Source organism: Homo sapiens, chromosome 9 (assembly GCF_000001405.40).
Source record: "Homo sapiens chromosome 9, GRCh38.p14 Primary Assembly".
Lineage (NCBI taxonomy): Eukaryota > Metazoa > Chordata > Mammalia > Primates > Hominidae > Homo > Homo sapiens.
Window position 1 is genome coordinate 117,683,637 of NC_000009.12, and position 19,006 is coordinate 117,702,642.

Below are 19,006 nucleotides of genomic sequence, written 5' to 3' on the forward strand. Positions count from 1 at the left end.
TTGAGGAAAAGAAAAATAAAGATAATAATATTTTACATATCTAGCACACACCTATTGCATACTAGGCTCTGTACTGGATGTTTTCTTAATACTTTTTATGTCATCCTTTGGACAACCTCATAAAGACCGCAGTTTTATCCGAATTCTATAGACGGAAATAGAGTGGTGGGACAAAGTTACACAGTTGGCAAAATGTGAAGCAGAGATTCAAACTCAAATCTGTCTATTTCTAAAACATGCTCCATTTCAATTCTGCCATGATGCCTTCACTCGAGTGGAATATGAACATTGCACTGCTATATGAATGCTATATTAATTGTTGTCTAGTCCTCACCATTTATTTCTCTCACATTTAAACATTTGACCAAGGGTTATGGAATCTTTCCTGACTAGTTCTGGGAGGAATTATACTCAGGAGAACATTACAACTTCCTCCCTTTCTCCTTAGAAATACATTCTTCCTTCAGTAGGTAATGTCACATGACTTTTGAGCAAAGAAGAAACTCCAGGTGAAAGTGTTTCCTAAGGTTAGACTTTGAATTCGATGAATCCATATCCCTTGAATATTCTTGTAGGGTATCTTCTCTTCTTGTTGTCAGTGGGATTCTGAAATTTTATTGACATTTGGCAGACATTGCGGCTGGAAAATTATTGTTTAGAAGTCTGGCTTAATTTGGGAGATTCCTTACTGTAAACCCAGGAGAGATGCATTCTGAGATCTGGGGGAAGTCTAAAGTGCTCCAGTTTCCTTTATATAGTTAGATATTGAATTTTCAATCCCCCATGTAGAAATGTGATGCCTTTTGTTGTTGAATTATCTGTTATTGAACTTTTATGTGTTTGTATTTGGAGCTGATAACTTCTGACAATCTCTGCTTAAATGAAGATTATGTTTTGTGCAATGAAGAAATCCCCTTTCTCTCACAATTAGTCAGTCTACCTTCTCATTTTCTTTTTATCTTGTTCTTATGTCAACCATTTAATTGAGATGTTAAGGTCCCTCACAGTTCTGAGTGGCAATTTTAAACCAGATTTCTCCATAGACTTAGAAGCTAGCAGCATTTGTTAGATGAGGCTGATCCAATTATTTAGGCTGAAAACTCTGGAGAGATAAGATTTTCCAAGCTGTGACGTTATGTCCAGGCTTCTCTCTTTGTTAAAAATAAACATTTCTAAGTTATATGCTCTTTGTTCGAGTTGGTTGTGTAATTGACGGGGGAGAAGGGGGATGTCCTTTAGGAAGCTGAAATGGAGTGTAGCACCTTATAGCTATAGTTATCTTCTTTTCTTCATGTTTTTTCCTTTAATAAAAAAAAACAGTCTTGTACCTAATTTTCAAATTTTCTGGGGATTTGTTACCCCTTTGATATTGTTTTATCACATTCTTCTTTACATAGCATGCCAGAAACTCTGAGGAGGAAAAATTAAAATTTAGTTTAGCTCCTTCCTTTACAGGTGAAGTCATTGAAGTGGGGATGTAGTTGCTATTTTGTGCTCAAGATCACATAGCAAATGTTAGCGACAAAGACATGAAAAATAGAATAGTTTTCCTGTTCTGTCTTTGTGTGTGTGTGTGTTGTTTTCCATATCTACTTTTATTTATTTACTTGTTATTAGTTAAAATCCTTGAAGGGTACAGCATCACATGAATTCTCCATCCAATGGCCTTAGCAGGAAGGTTGCTTAAGAATTTGAAACAAATCCTGCCACTGTTTCCATGGGCATGAGTTACCTTTAACCAGATTACTCTGGTTTTGTACGATTTGCTGCCAAGAGTCACCGTGCTGTTCTTTGCTTTGTATACATTAGAACATCTCTTGCCCAAACAGAATTCAGTTTCATCTCAGGCATAAATACCTACGATTTTAAGAAGAGCTATGTACTCCCTTTGTTTCTGAAGCCTCTACATATAGCCAGCAAAATTGGCCTTGTAACCATAGTCTTCCGGACCTATTTACCTTCTAGAAGTCCTGTTTCTAGCAGACCTGGGCACCCATTCTCTGAGCATCAGGGGACCAGCACCACCAGTCCCTCATCTCCTCCCTCCTGTCCTCTCGTTTTCTGAAGCTGATAGGAATCATTTCGTGCTATCTTTACTCCATTCTCCTCCAAGATTACTGAGCTGTTTTTCTTAGTTTCCCAATATGATAATATGCACATTTCATTATTTCTGAAATTCATTTATTCAATTCATTCATCAGTCTTGTTCGTTCATATGATGGATGGAAGAATATGAGTATGTTATTGTGCAAATCTCCCTCTGCAGTTGTTTTTAACATTTATATATCTCCACTAAATAGGATTATTGAATGTAAGTATTCTTTGGCTAACATAAGAAAACAGAAATACAGTGAAAGGATCTTTGAGGGTATTTCAGACAATCAGACTTGGGAATAAACAGGAGCCAAAACACCCTGGAAGGGAGAAAGAAAAGATAAATTTACAATAGACATACAGGTAAATTATTAGGAAAAATTAGAAAATGGATAAGGCAAAAATCAAAGCAGCTCTGGGTAAATAAAAGGATGATTTCTGGCGGAGACAGCATTTGAACTAATCCTTCAAGGATACGGAGGATTTTTATGTGTTGAGGAAAAAGGGGAAAAGCATGTATATATATGTGTGTGTGTGTGTGTGTGTGTGTGTGTATATGTATATATGTGTATACACACATATATATATTTTGCAAGAACTCAAGATGACCTTTGGGAAACTCAGCACATGAACAATGAAATAGTTGGGTGATGTTGGAAGGTAAGTCACTGTTTGATGAAAGGCCAGTGTGAGGGTATCAACATATGTCAGTTGCTTCTCACTGACCAAACACCAATTTCTTTTGACTTAATTTGCGTCAATTATGACTGTTTTACACTTCCATCTTTTTTTATCTTCTTCCTCTCCTTTCTTCCTCCATCAAGTGTCTTTCTTGCTGCTACTGTTCTTTTCTTTTTTATACCTCATTTACCTCTTCTTTATTGCTTTTTCTTTCCCATCGCTTATGCTGTGATTACTGTCCCTACTCTTTGGATATTAACTTTGGTGCAAAAAGTTCCATGTTTGAGCGCCTATGTTTGAGTTCCACTTTTGATATGGCAGCATGAGGAGCTCTGTGGACATGTTCCTCTCAGAAACTAGTGAAAATTAGTAAAACACACACACAAAACTATTAAAAGTCTGTGAAAATAGTTCAAAGGGCAAATGATGAAACATTGATTTAAGAAAATGCACTAAGACGTGGTGGAAATAGTGAGAGTCTATAGTATCTGAACCCAGACTCACTCACTCCCCACTCCCAGCTCAGTGAGACAGAAACTGGACTCTAGGCTGATCCTCTCCAGAACATGGACCTCTATTACCCCACAACTCCCAGCTGAGGAGCTACCTAGGGCAAGATATCACCATTTCTCATATTACTTCCACCTACCTGTTTCTGAGGCTAAGTTCTGGGCAAGTGAAGGCAAAATTGGATGTTCCTTTGTTTTCTGCTCAGTCTCCACTATATAGAATGAGGGCTCTACCTTGGACATTCATCACTAAGTATTAAAATTCCAATCACCCATATCCCATTTGTTAAGGCAGTGAGTGGTTTCGTGCTGGGAGAGGGAAGCCTAGAAGACCTGAAGCTATCCTCATCCACTGAGCACTCAGTTTCTAAAATGAGGGGTGTCACTCATAGAGAAGTATACCATACCACTCACTGGCCGGAGCTGTTTTAGAAATTTTGCCTAGGTGGGGGAAAAGGCCTTAAAACAGATAGTTCTTAATCTCTTCCCCAAACAGACTGTTCCTAATCTCTGACTTAATTTGCAAAAGAATCAAGATCTCTCTCAAAGACAGTAGAGATTGTGATAAAATGTAATTGAGAGGATAGTAGAAAATATATTGGAAATATGGGCTAAACCATAGGCCAGCTAGTTTTCCGGAGATAAATTGAGAAAGAGACAGCTGAGAGGGACACTTCTGTGGTCAAAAGGGATCTTTAACAAAGACTTTAGAACTATTCCTTCAAAGGAGGCTGAACTTTATTGGATTAGCCTATATAGGAATTTATGCTCCAGGGCATTGTTGAAAACAATAGAACAGGTGGCCAGCAATTAGTGGAGTTTTACAGCTGGGTGTGGTCAGGTGAGAGACAGGCAAAGAGAGCCCTGCTAACACCACTGTCTTTCTCGAGTGAATGCTGGCACACCTATGGCTGTACCCACTAAGAAACAACATCAGAGGCTTAACAGTGTAGGTGGGAGTAAATGAATAGATTTTACTAAAAAAAAAAAAAAAAAAGCAACCAGTTACAAAACAAATATACCAGCAAATTACAATAAGATTCAATGAGAAAGGTAACAGACCTAGAGGTGCTACAATATGTTATCTGAAATATTCTGTTTTCAACAAAAAAACAATGAACCATGAAAAAAAAAAAAAAGAAGAAGAAGAAGAAGAAGAAAAGTATGGCCCATACACTGTAAAAAGAAAAAGCAACCTAAGCTGCCTAGGAGAGTAGATGTTAGATATAATAAAGTATTCAAAGTGGCCATTATAAATATGTTCAAAGAACTAAAGGAAACCATGATTAAAGACGTAAAGTTAATATTAAATAAATAATATCAATAAAAAGAGAAATTATTAAAATGAGCCAAATACAAATTCTGGAGTTGAAAAGTTTAACTGAAATAGAACATTCACTAGAGGGGCATGAGGATAACTTGTAATAGATAGAAAAAACAGTTAAGAAACTTGAAGAGAGATCAGTAGGAAAGATTTCTTCCGAAGAACAGAGAGAAAAAGAATTGAAGAAAAATGAAAAAGAGTTTTATACATATGTAGGACGCCATTAAGCCTACCAACATGTATGTAACAGGAGCACATAAAGGGGAGAAAAAAAGAAAAGGAGCAGACAAAAATATTTTTAAAAATGACTCAAAATTTCCCAAATTTTTTGGAAAAAAACCCCCCAAAACTACACATTTAGGAAACTCAATAAATTTCAAGTAGGATAAATGCAGAGATCCACAGATAGACACATTATAGTAAAAATGTTGTGAGCTAAAGATAAGGAAAATAGTTTGAAAGCAATAAGAAAAAGATGATTTGTCATTTAAAATGGATCACCCCCCCCCCCACCCCCGCCACACACATAAGATTAACAATATACCTCTCATCAGAAACAATGGGAGGCCGGAAGATAATGGAACAACTATTTAAAGTGCTCAAAGGAAAAACCTGTTAATCAAGAATCCTATGCAGAGGAAAGGGAACATTTGTACACTGTTGGTGGTATTGTAAATTAGTATAGCCATTTTAGAAAACTGTATGAAAGATTCTTAAAAAACTAAAAATACAATTACCATATGATGGAGCAGCCCCATTTCTGGGTATATATCCAAAGGAGTTGAAATTGTGCTGAAGAGATGTCTGCACTCATTGTTTGCAATAACCAAGATTTGGAAACAACTCAAGTGTCCATTAACAAAGGGATTAAGAAAATGTGATTCATGTAAATAATGGAATACCATGTAGCCTAGAAAAAGAAGAAAATTATGCCATGGGCTGCAACATCGATGAACCTAGAGGACATTATAGTAAGTGAAAAAAGACAAAGAGCAACAAATACTGTACAATCTCACTTATATGCAGGATCTAAAAAAGCCAAATTTATAGAATTAGAAAGTAGAATGCTGGGTACTAGAGGCTGAGTGGGAGTAGACAAAAAAAGGTCAAAAGATACAAAATTTCAGTTAAACAAGAGAAATATGTTCTGTTGATCTATTGCACAGCATGATGACTATAGCTAATGTATGATATATTTCAAAATGGCTGAAAGAGAGGATTTTAAATGTTCTTACCACAAAAAATAATAAATATATGAGGTAATGGATATGTTAATTAACCTGATTTGATCATGCCGTAAGGTATACATGTATTGAAACATCACATCATACCCTACAAATATCTAATTATTATTGTCAATTAAAAATAAAACTTAAAAAATAAAAATGCCCAAATTTAAATACTTTAAAAAAGAATCATAAATTCAACAGAGCCATCTTTTAGAAATGAAAGGGAAATACAGACATTTCCAGTAAACAAAAACTGAAAGAATTTATTTTTTATTAGCAGACCTAACTTACAAGAAAGGAAGTAAGTAAAGGATGCTCTTCTACTGAAAAGTGACTCCGGACAGTAATTTGAGTTCACATAAGAGCACCAAAAGGTAATTATGTAAATATAAAAACCAGTAAAAATGCATAGCTTTTTTTCTTCTTTTTTCTTAAGTGACTTAAAAAGGAATTTTATAAAATAACATGCATATAATGCATTTTGGGCCTATAATATGCAGAAATGTAATATATCTGATAATAAGAGCACGAAGGTAGAAGATGGGAGGAAAGTGGTACAGGGCTAAGGAAATGTGGTATAGGACTCCAGATGAGAACTCTAAAGCTCAGATACAAGTGATGAGAACTAGAAAAATTGAAAGAGAAGGTTTTTGTAACAAAAGCAATAGTTACATACTTGTTCTCATTTATTATCTTAGCTGACAAAGGTCATCTATAAGAAACTCACAGCCAACAACATATTGAATGATGAAAGACAGAGTAGTTTTCCCCTATAAGCAAGAACAACACAAAGATGTCTGTTCTTAGAACTTCTATTCAATATTGTACTGGCGGTTCTAGCCAGAATAATTGGGAAAGAAAAAGAAATAAAAACATCCAGGTTGAAAAAAATAAAGTCAAGACATCTCTATTTATAATTGATAGCATCTCATGTTTAGAAGATCCTAAGGAATGCACTAAAAACTATTAAAACTAGTAAATGAGTCAGCAGAGTTGCAGAATTTAAGATTATACATAAAAATCAATTGCATTTCTATATACTTGAACAGTCTGAAAATGAAATTAAGAAAACAATTTATAATTTTATAAAAATAATAAATTTAATAAAATATAAAGTATAAGTATATATTAATAAGTATACATTTTAAAAGTATAAGTACAAAACTTATACTCTGAAAACTGTAAAATATCATTGAAAGAAATTAAAGAACATCTAAATGAATAGAAAATACCTTATGTTCATGGATTGTAAGACGTAAAATTGTTAAAATCATAAGATTTCCCAAATCAATCTACAGGTTCAATGCAATACCTATCAAAATTCTAGCTGGCTTCTTTGTAGAAATTAACAAACTAATTCTAAAATTCACATGGGATTTCAAGAGACTTAGGAGACCCAAAACAACCTGAAAAAGAAGAATATATTTGAATAGCTGACATTTCTAGAATTCAAAACTTACTGCAAAGCAAAAGTAATCAAGACAGTGTGGTATTGGCATAAGGGTAGACAAGTAGATAAATATTACAAAATTGAGAGTTCAGAGATAAGTCTATGTGTCTATGGTCAACTGCTTTTCAGCCAGGGTGCCAATATCATTCAGTAGGAAAGCAATAGTCTTTTCACAAATGATGCTGGGAAACTCGATAGTCACATGCAAAATGATTTCTTACACCACACTATGTGCAAAAATTAACTCAAAATGAATGAAAGATCTAAATGTAGGATCTATGGCTAGAAAACTTTTATAAGAAAACATAGTGATAAATCCTTGTTACCTCAGATTTAGTGATGGATTCTTAGATAAAATTCCAAAAGCATTATATCAAGAACAACAAGAGAAACAAGAGATAATTTGGAAATCAAAAGTTAAAAGCATTTGTTTCAGAGGACACAATCAAAATAGTGAAGACAACTCACAGAATGGGATAAAATATTCACAAATCATATATCTCATAAGAAATGAGTATCCAGAATATATATAGAATACTTCTAACTTGATAATAAAACAACAAATAACTCAATTAGAAAATGGACAGTGAAATTGAATGGACATTTATCCAAAGAAAATATACAAATGGCCAATAAAAACTTGCAAAGATTCCTGGCATCATTAGTCATCAGGAAAATGAAAATCAAAACAATGAGATACCACTTTATATCCAGTACAATAGATATAAACAGACAATAGCAAGCATTGATGAGGTTGCAGAAGTTGGAACCTTGATACATTGCTGCTAGTAGTGTAAAATAGGGCAGTCACTTTGGAAGACAGTCTAAAAGTTTCTCAAGTGATTAAACAGAGTTACAATATTACTCTGCAGTTCCACTCCTAGGTGTATATCCAAGACAAATGAAAACATGCCCACACGAAAACGTATTCACAAATGTTGTATCGGTATTGTTCATAATAGCCAAAAGGTGAAAAGAAATCAAATATTCATCACTTAGTGAAAGGATAAATAAACTCTAGTATATGCATATAGTGAAATATTATTCAGCTGTAAAAAAGAATGAAGTAACTTATGCATACTATTAATATAACACAGATGAACCTTAAAAATATTATGCCACATAAAGAAGCCAGTCACAAAATGCCACACATTATATGATTCTATCTATGTAAAATATACAGAATAGGCAAATTTATATAGAAAGAAAGTAGATTAATGTTTGCTTAGGGCTGTGATAATGAGATCCTTCCATTATCACAGTGGAAGTGAGTGAGAGTTAAAGGGTTAGGGGTATCTTTTTATGGTGATGAAAATGCTTTAAAGGTGGCTGTGGTTATAGTTGAACATATGAATGAATATAATAAACACCATTGAATTGTACACTTTAAGTTAGTAAGTTGTAAATTTCAATAGCTGTTTAGGACATCAGTGACAGTTTAGTGATATATCATTATCAAAGTGACTCCCTGACTTATATAAGCACTGGACCTCAATGTTGGCAATAGTTATAATGATAAGAATCACATTGATTTGCTGTATTTCAGATGTCTTAGACCGTTTTCTCTCCGTGTGTGTCCTTTCCTAGGGTATTTTGTGATGGCTTTCCCCATTAAAGGTTTCCCCATTGCTTAATTATTTGTTGATTTGTCTGATGGTACAGTGTAATGATAAAACTGGAATTTTTTTTAAAAACTGAGTTTGAATTCCAGCTTTACTGGATTTAGCTATATGAAAAAGTGCATGTGTATATCCAGGTTTTAGTTTTCACATTTTTTAAAGTGATTTCTTTAGCCTCATGGCAAGAAGAGCTTCCGTTCTTGGCAATTTGATTCCATATAATGGTAGAACATGGTCAAACCCGTACCAATTGACCCAGCCAAGTTTCCTGGCATCTGACTTAATAATGATATTATTCTTTGTCTTTGCAGTAATGGTGATATTGATAGTGGAGTGAGGTGGGCAGGACATGCTGTGGACTAGCATTTTCAGAGCTATGTTCTCAATTGTCTACTTCCCTGTGCATCTGTTTTTTTTCTCTTTGATTTCTTATACATGATTTACCACTTTTCTTTTATAATGCCCTTCTCTTCAGACTTTTCAGCTTGTTAATAAAGTCAGTTTTCATGTTTTGACCGCAGAACCCATCTCTCTCCTTATCATCTCATTGTGTTACCCGTAGCACAGTATGCTCCCTGTTTGCATGGGGCTGATTTGTCTGCACCTGCAGTTCACAGGGGCATGACTGAAATCTGTAGGGGAGACCTAGTCCAGCTGACATAAACTCACATTTTTATTGGACACATTATACTTCCAGTTCACAGACTGAATCTTTTAACAGTTTACATACTGTTGATCATAAGTAGGAGTACAGATATTCCTTTGCACCCCACACCCACCATGACCAAAAAACCTAAAATAAGTTGATCAGGAATGCTGAATTATGAGTTTCATTTTCCCACATGAAGGACAGGGCAGTTCAAAATACAGAATTCCAATCTTACCATTGCCTCCTGTGTAAAGAGAGATGGAAGTCACACATAAAGATTCTATAGATCAGCATTGAGCATTCTGCAACCATATGTTGCCCTCAGCTTTGCCATATGGCTCTGAGTCTAATTTCAAACTCACTTTTCAGCACATTTAAAGGTGAGGGATTTGGATACGAATAAACTACCTCTGTGGAAACCACTTTTCGAGAACAGAAGGGAGATTTTAGAATGGCCAGTCCCCTGGCATGTGCTCCTCAGTTGGGCTGGGACAAAGCGAATGTTTGTGATTGGTGGAAATGACACAAATGCCTATTGGGAAGCTCCAAGGCAGCTGGGCCTATGGGCTTCACTGTGCAGCCTTGATAATGGCGTCCAGATCACCTCAGAAGAAGAAAATGGGGAGAGTGTTCACTTAAGCTCCTAGAGAATGAGGATTTATTTTTCTTCTAGTTGCATCATTCTTGTGCTTCACATTGTACTTTATTATAGGGTCAAATCATTTTATTTTGTTTGGGGAAGTTGTGTTATATATAGTTTCCCAATATTTACATTTCAAAATGTATCCTGCTATCAAATTCATTCATTCATTTTAGTCTCTTCCTCCCTTCCTTTCTCTCTCTTCTTTCGTTCCATTCTTTATTCCTTCCTTCCTTCCTTTCATTCTTCCTTCCTTTAGTCTATTTTTACTACAAGGTGACATGCTATGTAGATTACATATATGTGCAAGGCAAAGTTCATATCCTGAGGGAATTCCTGATTTGGGGGGAATATGAGCTGTGATAAAATGCCCTTCAATACAGAAGAGTATGCATAAGACCCAGGACCATATTTCTAAAGAAAAGCAAGATAACTTTTACTTGGTATGCATGAGTGTGTGAGACTGGGAGTAGATGATGCTTTTTAGAAGGAACGGGAAGACTCTATAGAGGAGATGGACTTTGAGGTGAGCCTGAAGACAAGGAGGATAAATTTTGTTTTTTGTTTTTTCCAAACACCCTTAGTCAGAGGTCCCCAGTACCTGGGCCGTAGACTGGTACCAGTCTGTGGCCTGTTAGGAACCAAGCCACGCAGCAGGAGGTGAGTGGTGGGCAAGAGAGCATTATTGCCTGAGCTCCACCTCCTGTCAGATCAGCAGTGGCGTTAGATTTTACAGAAGCGTGAACCCTATTGTGAACTGTACATGCGAGGGATCTAGGTGTTGCACTCCTTATGAAAATCTAATGTCTGATGATCTGAGGTGGAACAGTTTCATCCTGAAACCAACACGGAAAAAATTCGTCTTCCACGAAACTGGTCCCTGATGCCCAGAAGATTGGGGATTACTGCCCTAGGTCACCACCCCTTTCCATACTCAATATCAGGAACCCTGCTTAAGGTGATATGTACTTATTTATGTTGTGTTGAAAGTAAACTCCAACATACAAAGGAACAGGAGTTTTATCAGCTGTTTGCTGTGCATTTTCTTGTCATGGAAACCTCCAACTGACTAAAAGATGTAGGATGTTAAGAAACCAACCTAGAATAAATAGTTTGTGATCAGAAAGATACGGTGGATATTATTTTTACATGAGTAATGAGAGTAATGTAAAATTACTTTTACATGAGTAATGAGAAGTCTATATTAAGCATTAACATAGACTAAACACATCTTAAAATTACCATAATCTTAGCCTATATAATCTCATTTTCTCCTTGCAACTAGTACAGAGAAGGAAACTAAAGCTTATAAAGTTAAGTGATTATTTGAAGTCACACAGCTAGGAAGTGATGGAGCAAGTACCAGAAGCCAAGATTTCCAATCTAATGCAGAGTCCATGAATTTCAGTTATTATTCCATGCCATGTCATTGAGAATATTAGTTTATGGAAGCATTCACTGGACATTTAGTCTGAGCTCTAGAGGAGCTAAAGGAAAAAGATATGGTTGCTTTGGCATAAATCAAAAGGGCAGAGTCAAAATTGAAGCATATTTATGTTTAGTACTCTCAACATACTTTTATGTTACCCTGAATGCAATTCCTTCCCATAATGTCACATCTAACCTTTTATTTTTTATCTTTATCTCTGTATCTTCCTTCTCACTAGAGCTCCAACCTTCTAATACCAAGGCACTAGGAGGGTTTTTTCTTTTTCTTTTTTTAAAATTTAAATGTTGACTCAAAGAAAGAGAGGAGGCAGGTACTCATACAGCATAAAATACAAAAATTTTGGTGGAAGAGTTTCACCTTCAGTAAGCACCCCATCTTTTAGTTTACTTTAATTTTTCTGCTCACCTGGTGGTCATTCTACCAAGGCAGCCTCTTAACATCATCCACTACTCCTTAGAATTTGTAGATTCTTTGTCTTTCTACCCATTAACAACACCAAGCCAAGCAGAGAATAACTAACAACTCATGTTGAAGTTTGTGGCTAATAGAATGCCTATACTTCAGAAGGAAAAGAAGAGTTAAGGATCAAAAGTCTGTCGGGGTGGGAGACAGCAAGTAAGGAGCAGAGTCTGAGAGGAACACAATTCTGTAGCAGAAGAAGTAGCTCACATGAGGTCTCTCACAAAAGCTAAGGATAAAGCTGAGGACATCCCGAGGATCAATGAAAAAAAAGTTAATTTTATTAGGGATGTTGCTGTGAATCCTGCACCATTCTTTGGACTATGTATAGATTGGAATATATCTTTTGAACCTCAAGGAAATTGCACACTAGATACTTTTCTGTGCTCCATGTGTATTTGCCCAACTTGCATATTTGTCCATCATTTCCCAGTCCGATTACTTCCAGATTCATAGACTTCTCCAGAATGGAAGGTAGAAGAAAAGAAGAGTAATTGTAGAATAAACCAGCTACTTGACAAGTAATGTAAGTTACTCATGCCCTGACCCCATTCCTTCCAAAAACACATGTCATACACCTCTGGGTTACGCAAGCATGTGCTGTCCACAGTGATGTGTTATAAGGTGACTTGCAAGTCTAGCCTAGGATTGTGTCAGATACCAGCTCAAAGTATTTCATCACAGGTTGTCTTCTAGAAAAAGACAGAATAAATTCCTTTTAGATTTTTCCTTCTTTTTCTCAGTGGAAGTTGCTAAAAAGAGGAGAAATGTGATTGACCAGTCATCAAAAAAAATGGCTGATTACATATAATCTACTAATTCCTGCATTCATTTAATGTTAATTGAGCACTTATCATGTACTGATAACAAACAAACACTAGCTACAACTCTGAATGTAACAGATCCAATCTGTCCTCACTTGGATCTTATTAGCCTGTATATGAAATAAGACCCAAGTCAATTGAGACTATTACCAGGAGTTATCTTCACAATCACTGATACAACTAACATGCATTAAACTTCTCCTAGGTATTACTGGGCACTGTGATAGGCATAGGGTGTACAGAGATGCACTAGATTTGGCTTCTGTCATAAGGGGGCTAAAAGCCTAGTGGGAAAGAAAGATAATCCCTCTTGAACATGAGAGATGGTTGCTGTGGGAGGACTGAAGAAAAGGTGACAAATGCCTACTTGGAGACGTTGGGCATGTATCACTAAGATGCAAAGTCTTAACAATGTCCTACAATGCCCTAAGTAATCTACCTGGCAACGTGTGCCTCTCTACACTGGTTGGTTCTAGCACTTCCTGTCTCTGGATCTTTGGACTGGCTTATCCTTCTAACTCAGGGCTTCTCAACCTTGGCACTACTGATATTTTAGGCTGGGGGACTGTCCTGGATCTAGCACATAGTGAGATGTTTAGCAGCATCCCTGGCCTCTACTCAGTGGATACCAGCAGCAACACCTCCAACCCCCAAGTTACGACAAACACAAATGTCTCAAGAGATTGCAACATGCCCCCTGGGGCAAAATCATTTCCAGTTGAGAACTACTATTCTAACTGGGGTGTTTCTCTCCAAAGTATCTGCATAGCCAGGGACTCCTTCCAGAATTGGCTCAAAATATCACTTTCTCAAAAAGACCCACACTGATTGTCCTATATTTGATAGCACAATAGGATGACTAAAGTCAATAATAGCTCAATTGTACATGTTGAAATAATTTGAGTGTAACTAGATTGTTTGTAACTCAGACAATAGGACTTGAGGGGATAGATACCCCATTGTTCATGATGTGTTTATTTCACATTGAATGCCTGTATCAAACATCTCATATACCCCATAAGTATATACACCTACTATGAACCCACATAAATAAAGAGATAAATAAATAAATAGAGAGAAAATAAATACATAAATAAATAAAACTCCAATACCACACACCACTCTTCATTCCCCTCACTCTCTTAAATTTTTGTCTATAGATCCTAACATCTTCGGACCTACTATATAATGCACTTATTTATAATTATTATCATCTCTCTACTAATTAGAATATACATTCAACTTGAGTGAGAGGGACTGCTTTCTTCACTGTTGTAGTCTTCTGCCCAGAACAGTGCCTGGCAAAATGTTAACCATCCATACATATTTGGTGTATAAATAAATGAATGAATTATGGTCAACATTTGTGTAAAGTTGTAACATTTACAAATACATCCACACACAAGATCTCATTTACCCCTCAGATAATATTATTAATTAGGCCATAGTGTTATTTTTGTTGTATGGTTTAAGGAAACTCAATGATGTTAAAAATTAGTGACACCCACAAAAAATGATGATGCCAGAAAGTAAAAAGGATAATGAAATATTTTAAAGTATAGCCTTCAGATTTGGTTTGGCTGTGCCCCAACCCAAATCTCATCTTGAATTGTAGTTGCCATAATCGCCACGTATATCGTGGGAGGGACCTGGTGGGAGGTAATTGAATCATGGGGGCAGTTACCCCCATGCTGCTGTTCTCATTATTGTGAGTGAGTTCTCATGAGATCTGATGGTTTTATAAGTGCCAGGCATTTCCTCTGCTTGCACCTCTCCTTCCTGCTACCATGTGAAGAAGGACATGTCTGCTTCCCCTTCCACCATGATTGTAAGTTTCCTGAGGCCTCCCCAGCCTTGCAGAACAGTGAGTCAATTAAACCTCTTTTTTGTTGTTGTTGTTGTTTTGTTTTGTTTTGTTTTTAAATAAACTACCAAGTCTTGGGTATTTCTTCATTGAGGTGTGAGAATGGGCTAGTACACCTTTTCTATATTACACCATGCTCTTCCACGGTATGAATGAATAAGCTTGGATTCACTGGCCAAACTGGGAGTCAGAACAAAGAGGGAAAACCCTCTTGCCTGCAATGAACCATCCTTTGCCTATTTATTCATGAATAAATAGACAAAAAGGATTTTTCTACCTCAGGAAAAAACATAGTGTTTACTGCAACAAGACTTCCTTTCAAATCCACTTGCTATGACTCTGTCCTTCTCTGTTGCTTGAACTAGGGTACATGAATCTCAATGTAATATAGGGATGTAGAAAAGTATAAGAGAAGCCCCAGAATAATCAATAGACCTCTAGTAAGATAGTCACATTGCTCAATATGCAAAGGTGACAAATACTCTAAGATACTCACTACATGTTAAAAATAAATACAGATATATTGTTCAGAGATGTATTCATCAACTACTTAACTATGTATCTACCCATGCATTTAATAACTGTGAGCATCATACCAGGCCTCCATTCTCATGGAGTTTGTATTCTACTGGTAGAGGCAGATAATAAAGAGATGAGAAATTCAAAGTAATTTAAAAAATAACACAGGAAAGGTCATAGACATTTTGGTCTGGGGAGGAGATGGCACTATGTAGGCTGATTACCTGTGAGGGTGCACTCACTCACCTCTTGTACTTGTGAAGAACATACTGAAATGTACAGGGTGTTTGGGAGGAAAATAATGAGATGCACAGGGCAGTACTTAATGTGAAGACCTCACCATAGAGACAGGAATTAAGTCACCTGGAGCCAAGAGAATACCCTTTATGCCTTTGCTTAAAAGCACCATTTTCTGTACTATATACCACAAGAGCATTGGTCCATGGCACATTAATGGATTCTGGACTGGTAATGGGTGTCCAAGGATAAAAGAGGGTTGAATGGGTCAAAAAGTTGGGAAACATTGAGTACTCTATCTCCTTTCATAGATGCAAAATAAACATTAGTCTAATACATGTTCTAAGGAGTCCTTAGAAAATAAATCTGTTTTTCTCTGTTTAACTATTTGTTTCTTTTACTTACCTGAACAGAGCTTTTTTTTCTTCCTAGTAACAAACTGTTGTTGTATATAAGGTACCACTGATTATAAGGTGTACCATTACTTTATTTGCCACTAAGAAAGAAAAAAAACTCTGCCAATTATAATTGTACTATATTGTCAATTATATGAGAACCATTCTGCTTTGAGAGGTGTTGACATGAAAAAAACATGAAACTTAAAAACTTGAGATGGTTGGATGGAATGAGGTTTGGTTTTTAGATATGTCAGGTTAATGGGACCTTTTTTAAAATCACTATGCAATGGAAATTATAGGATTCTAAGGTTGTGGCATAAATACAACCTGCTGATCAACAGAATTTTGTGTTCCTCTTCCACAGTATAGTATTGGTGCTGTGAAGTGGTGCTCACCATTAAGTGTGTGTGTGTGTTTAAGTTTTGGGTAGGGGGAAGAGCCTTGAAGCTTAGAAGATAGAGATCCCTTGCAACTTGGTATTGTGTTGGGTCTAGTTTTGGTCAAATGCAATGAGAGCAGAGATAATGCATGTCACTTCTGAGCAGAGGTAGTTAAATACATGATATCATCCCCTACTTTCTTCACATTCTGCAGTAAACTTGGAGGCTGCATGTTGAATATGAAAGTATAATGAAATAAAAGAAGCCTAGAACCAGGAATCATACCTGGGGTAATCCAATCAGAAATATCCTCATTGAGTGTTTCATGAGCCAGGAAAACTTTTATTAAGTCACAATAAAATCTGGAAGTTTATACAGCAATTAGCTTAGTCTAACACTTGTCAGTTTTGTGCATATTTCTTACAGCATATGCATTACCTGCCAAATAAAAGCAAACACTTCTAGGTCCCTGGCAAATATGGGATTCCTCCATTGACTGACTGATTATGGGTCCTGAGTTGAACTTGCTCTGCATGAAGGATGTAGGCGATCAAGTGGCTTGTTTTGCCTCTGGCCAAATCTCTACCACTATGCTTAAGATGCGATTAATTATGTACAACAAACCCCCATGACACACGTTTACCTATGTAACAAACCTGCTCATCCTGCACATGTACTTCTGAATGTAAAAATAAAAGTAAAAAAAAAGAAAACAAGAGGTGGTTATTATTCTACTGTGGGAGAAATTATAGGCCTAATGGTAACTAATCACCACGGTCTTACCTCATTATAATACTGCATCGGTAAGTTCATCAACATAAGCAAGTTAGATCTGATAACCAAGGGGCTTACAGTTTCTAATTTGTATTTGACACATGGTCTGCCTTCTGGAAGAGCAACATAGAACCTAGATGTCTTTGATTAAGGTCAGTAAATGATTGAGTGTTAATCCCATTCATTTCCCAGGAAAAGGAAACCTCTTTACAAGTCACCACCAGGGATTCTCCAATCACACATAGGAAAAATTTCCAGGAAGACTTCTATAAAACACATGTATTAACATCTCCGAAAACATAGTTGAAAGGACTTCCCTGGGCCCTTTTCCTTAGTTCCTCATCTAGACTATCAAGCGGTTTCCTCTCCAAATGATGGGAAGAAAGTGCATTTGTCTATTACACACTTGTATTACTCTATTCACTTAAGCACTGTGTCCCAGTAATGGGGTCTAGTTATGTCTGGCTTGAAATGACCCACATATTTGTTTCTCATTCTTAGGAAGTGGAGTGTTTCTGTATGTGTATATGTGATGGGGGTAGGCCAGGAGATTTTTTATCTAGGCAATACCCAGCCTGAAATCATTATTAGCATGACATGAGTTAAACGTATTTCTATTTTAGAAAGATGTTTTCAACAGCAGGATGAAGAATCAATTGGAAGAGCTGGTACATTGAAAGAGGTGAATCTAGACTTTGGGAGGCTTCTTAAAGTATATTGAACTAGTCTAGGCCGTGGGATATGTTCAATAGTAATGGTAGTAGAAATGGCGACTGACATTTTGGAATTATTTTACAGATACAATTTCTACAACTTGGTGGAACATTTTTTAAAATGTAGGTTTTATTATTCGGCTATGGTGAAAACAACAGATCAGAAGATGATGCCACTGGAAATATAGTTTGTTGTTTACAGTTCCTAAGAAGCGGGGGCATGCCACACCATGCAGGGCCACATTGGTAGCACCAGAGTCCGTCAGGAGGCAGAGGGAGCAAGAGGAAATTATAGGCACAAGCTTTTATTGTTGTTACTGCAGAAAAGGCAAGGCAAGGCAGGGTAAGCAGGGATAGGACTGGCTAGTTTGAATAACCTCAGTGGGCTCTGGGGTAGAGGGTCTGTCTCTAGTTGTCTGGTACCTGGACCTGTGATGATTAGGGCTGAATAACGGTGTCTACTTGGGTGTAAAAGCCAGGTAGAGGAGGTGGTTCAGAGGAAGGGCTCTGGATTGCTTAGTGTGCATAAGGCATGCTCCAGAGCAAATCTTTTGCTATTTTTTAGAACTAACTAGCCCTGGTAAGTGCAGTCTCTTCCCAGATGCCAGAACATCAAGAACACAGAAAAGAAGACAATTGGGTTAATACATGTTTAGCATGAGAAATGAGGAAGTAAGGGAAATAAAGTCAAAGAGATTTCCACCTTGGATGACTATGTCAAAGTGAAACACCATTAACTTTCCAGGGAACTAAACTTTATTGAGCACCTACTCTGTGTCAGGCACTGCTCTAAAATCTTTACATGAATAATCTCAATACTCAGAGCAAAGCTTTGACATGGAGGTTGTTTTTATCTTAACTCTACTGGTGTGTTGATGGAGTCTACAAGAGTTTGTGCCCAGTCCACCACAAAATGGTCCCTCACAGCTTGGTTTTTGACACGTTGGATTGGAAGTGCTTGGAGGATATTACAGTAGAACTATCTAGGACTTAGCATGCATAATATTCCTGTTTTAAATCAGGTTCTTATTTAACAGAAACTTACATTGCACTTGCTACTTTCCAGACACTGTCCTAAAAGCTTTACAAATGCCAGTTCATTTAATCCCAATACAATACTTTGAGATACATATTATCATCTTCATTCTATCCACATTTTCAATCCTCATCATAGCTCTCATTTATGGAATGTA

General features: G+C 36.6%; 1 pseudogene, besides 1 other annotated feature; it reads right to left on the reverse strand.

Moving 5' to 3' along the window:
• RPL35AP22 (ribosomal protein L35a pseudogene 22) lies at window positions 1,622-1,949 on the reverse strand (annotated as a pseudogene).
• Window positions 3,739-4,268: an enhancer, noted in NCBI's record as "NANOG hESC enhancer chr9:120449653-120450182 (GRCh37/hg19 assembly coordinates)". NCBI's record gives its function as "activates a minimal SCP1, AML or CMV promoter by ChIP-STARR-seq in naive H9 embryonic stem cells {active_cell/tissue: H9 hESC(naive)}" and the evidence as "EXISTENCE:reporter gene assay evidence [ECO:0000049][PMID:30033119]".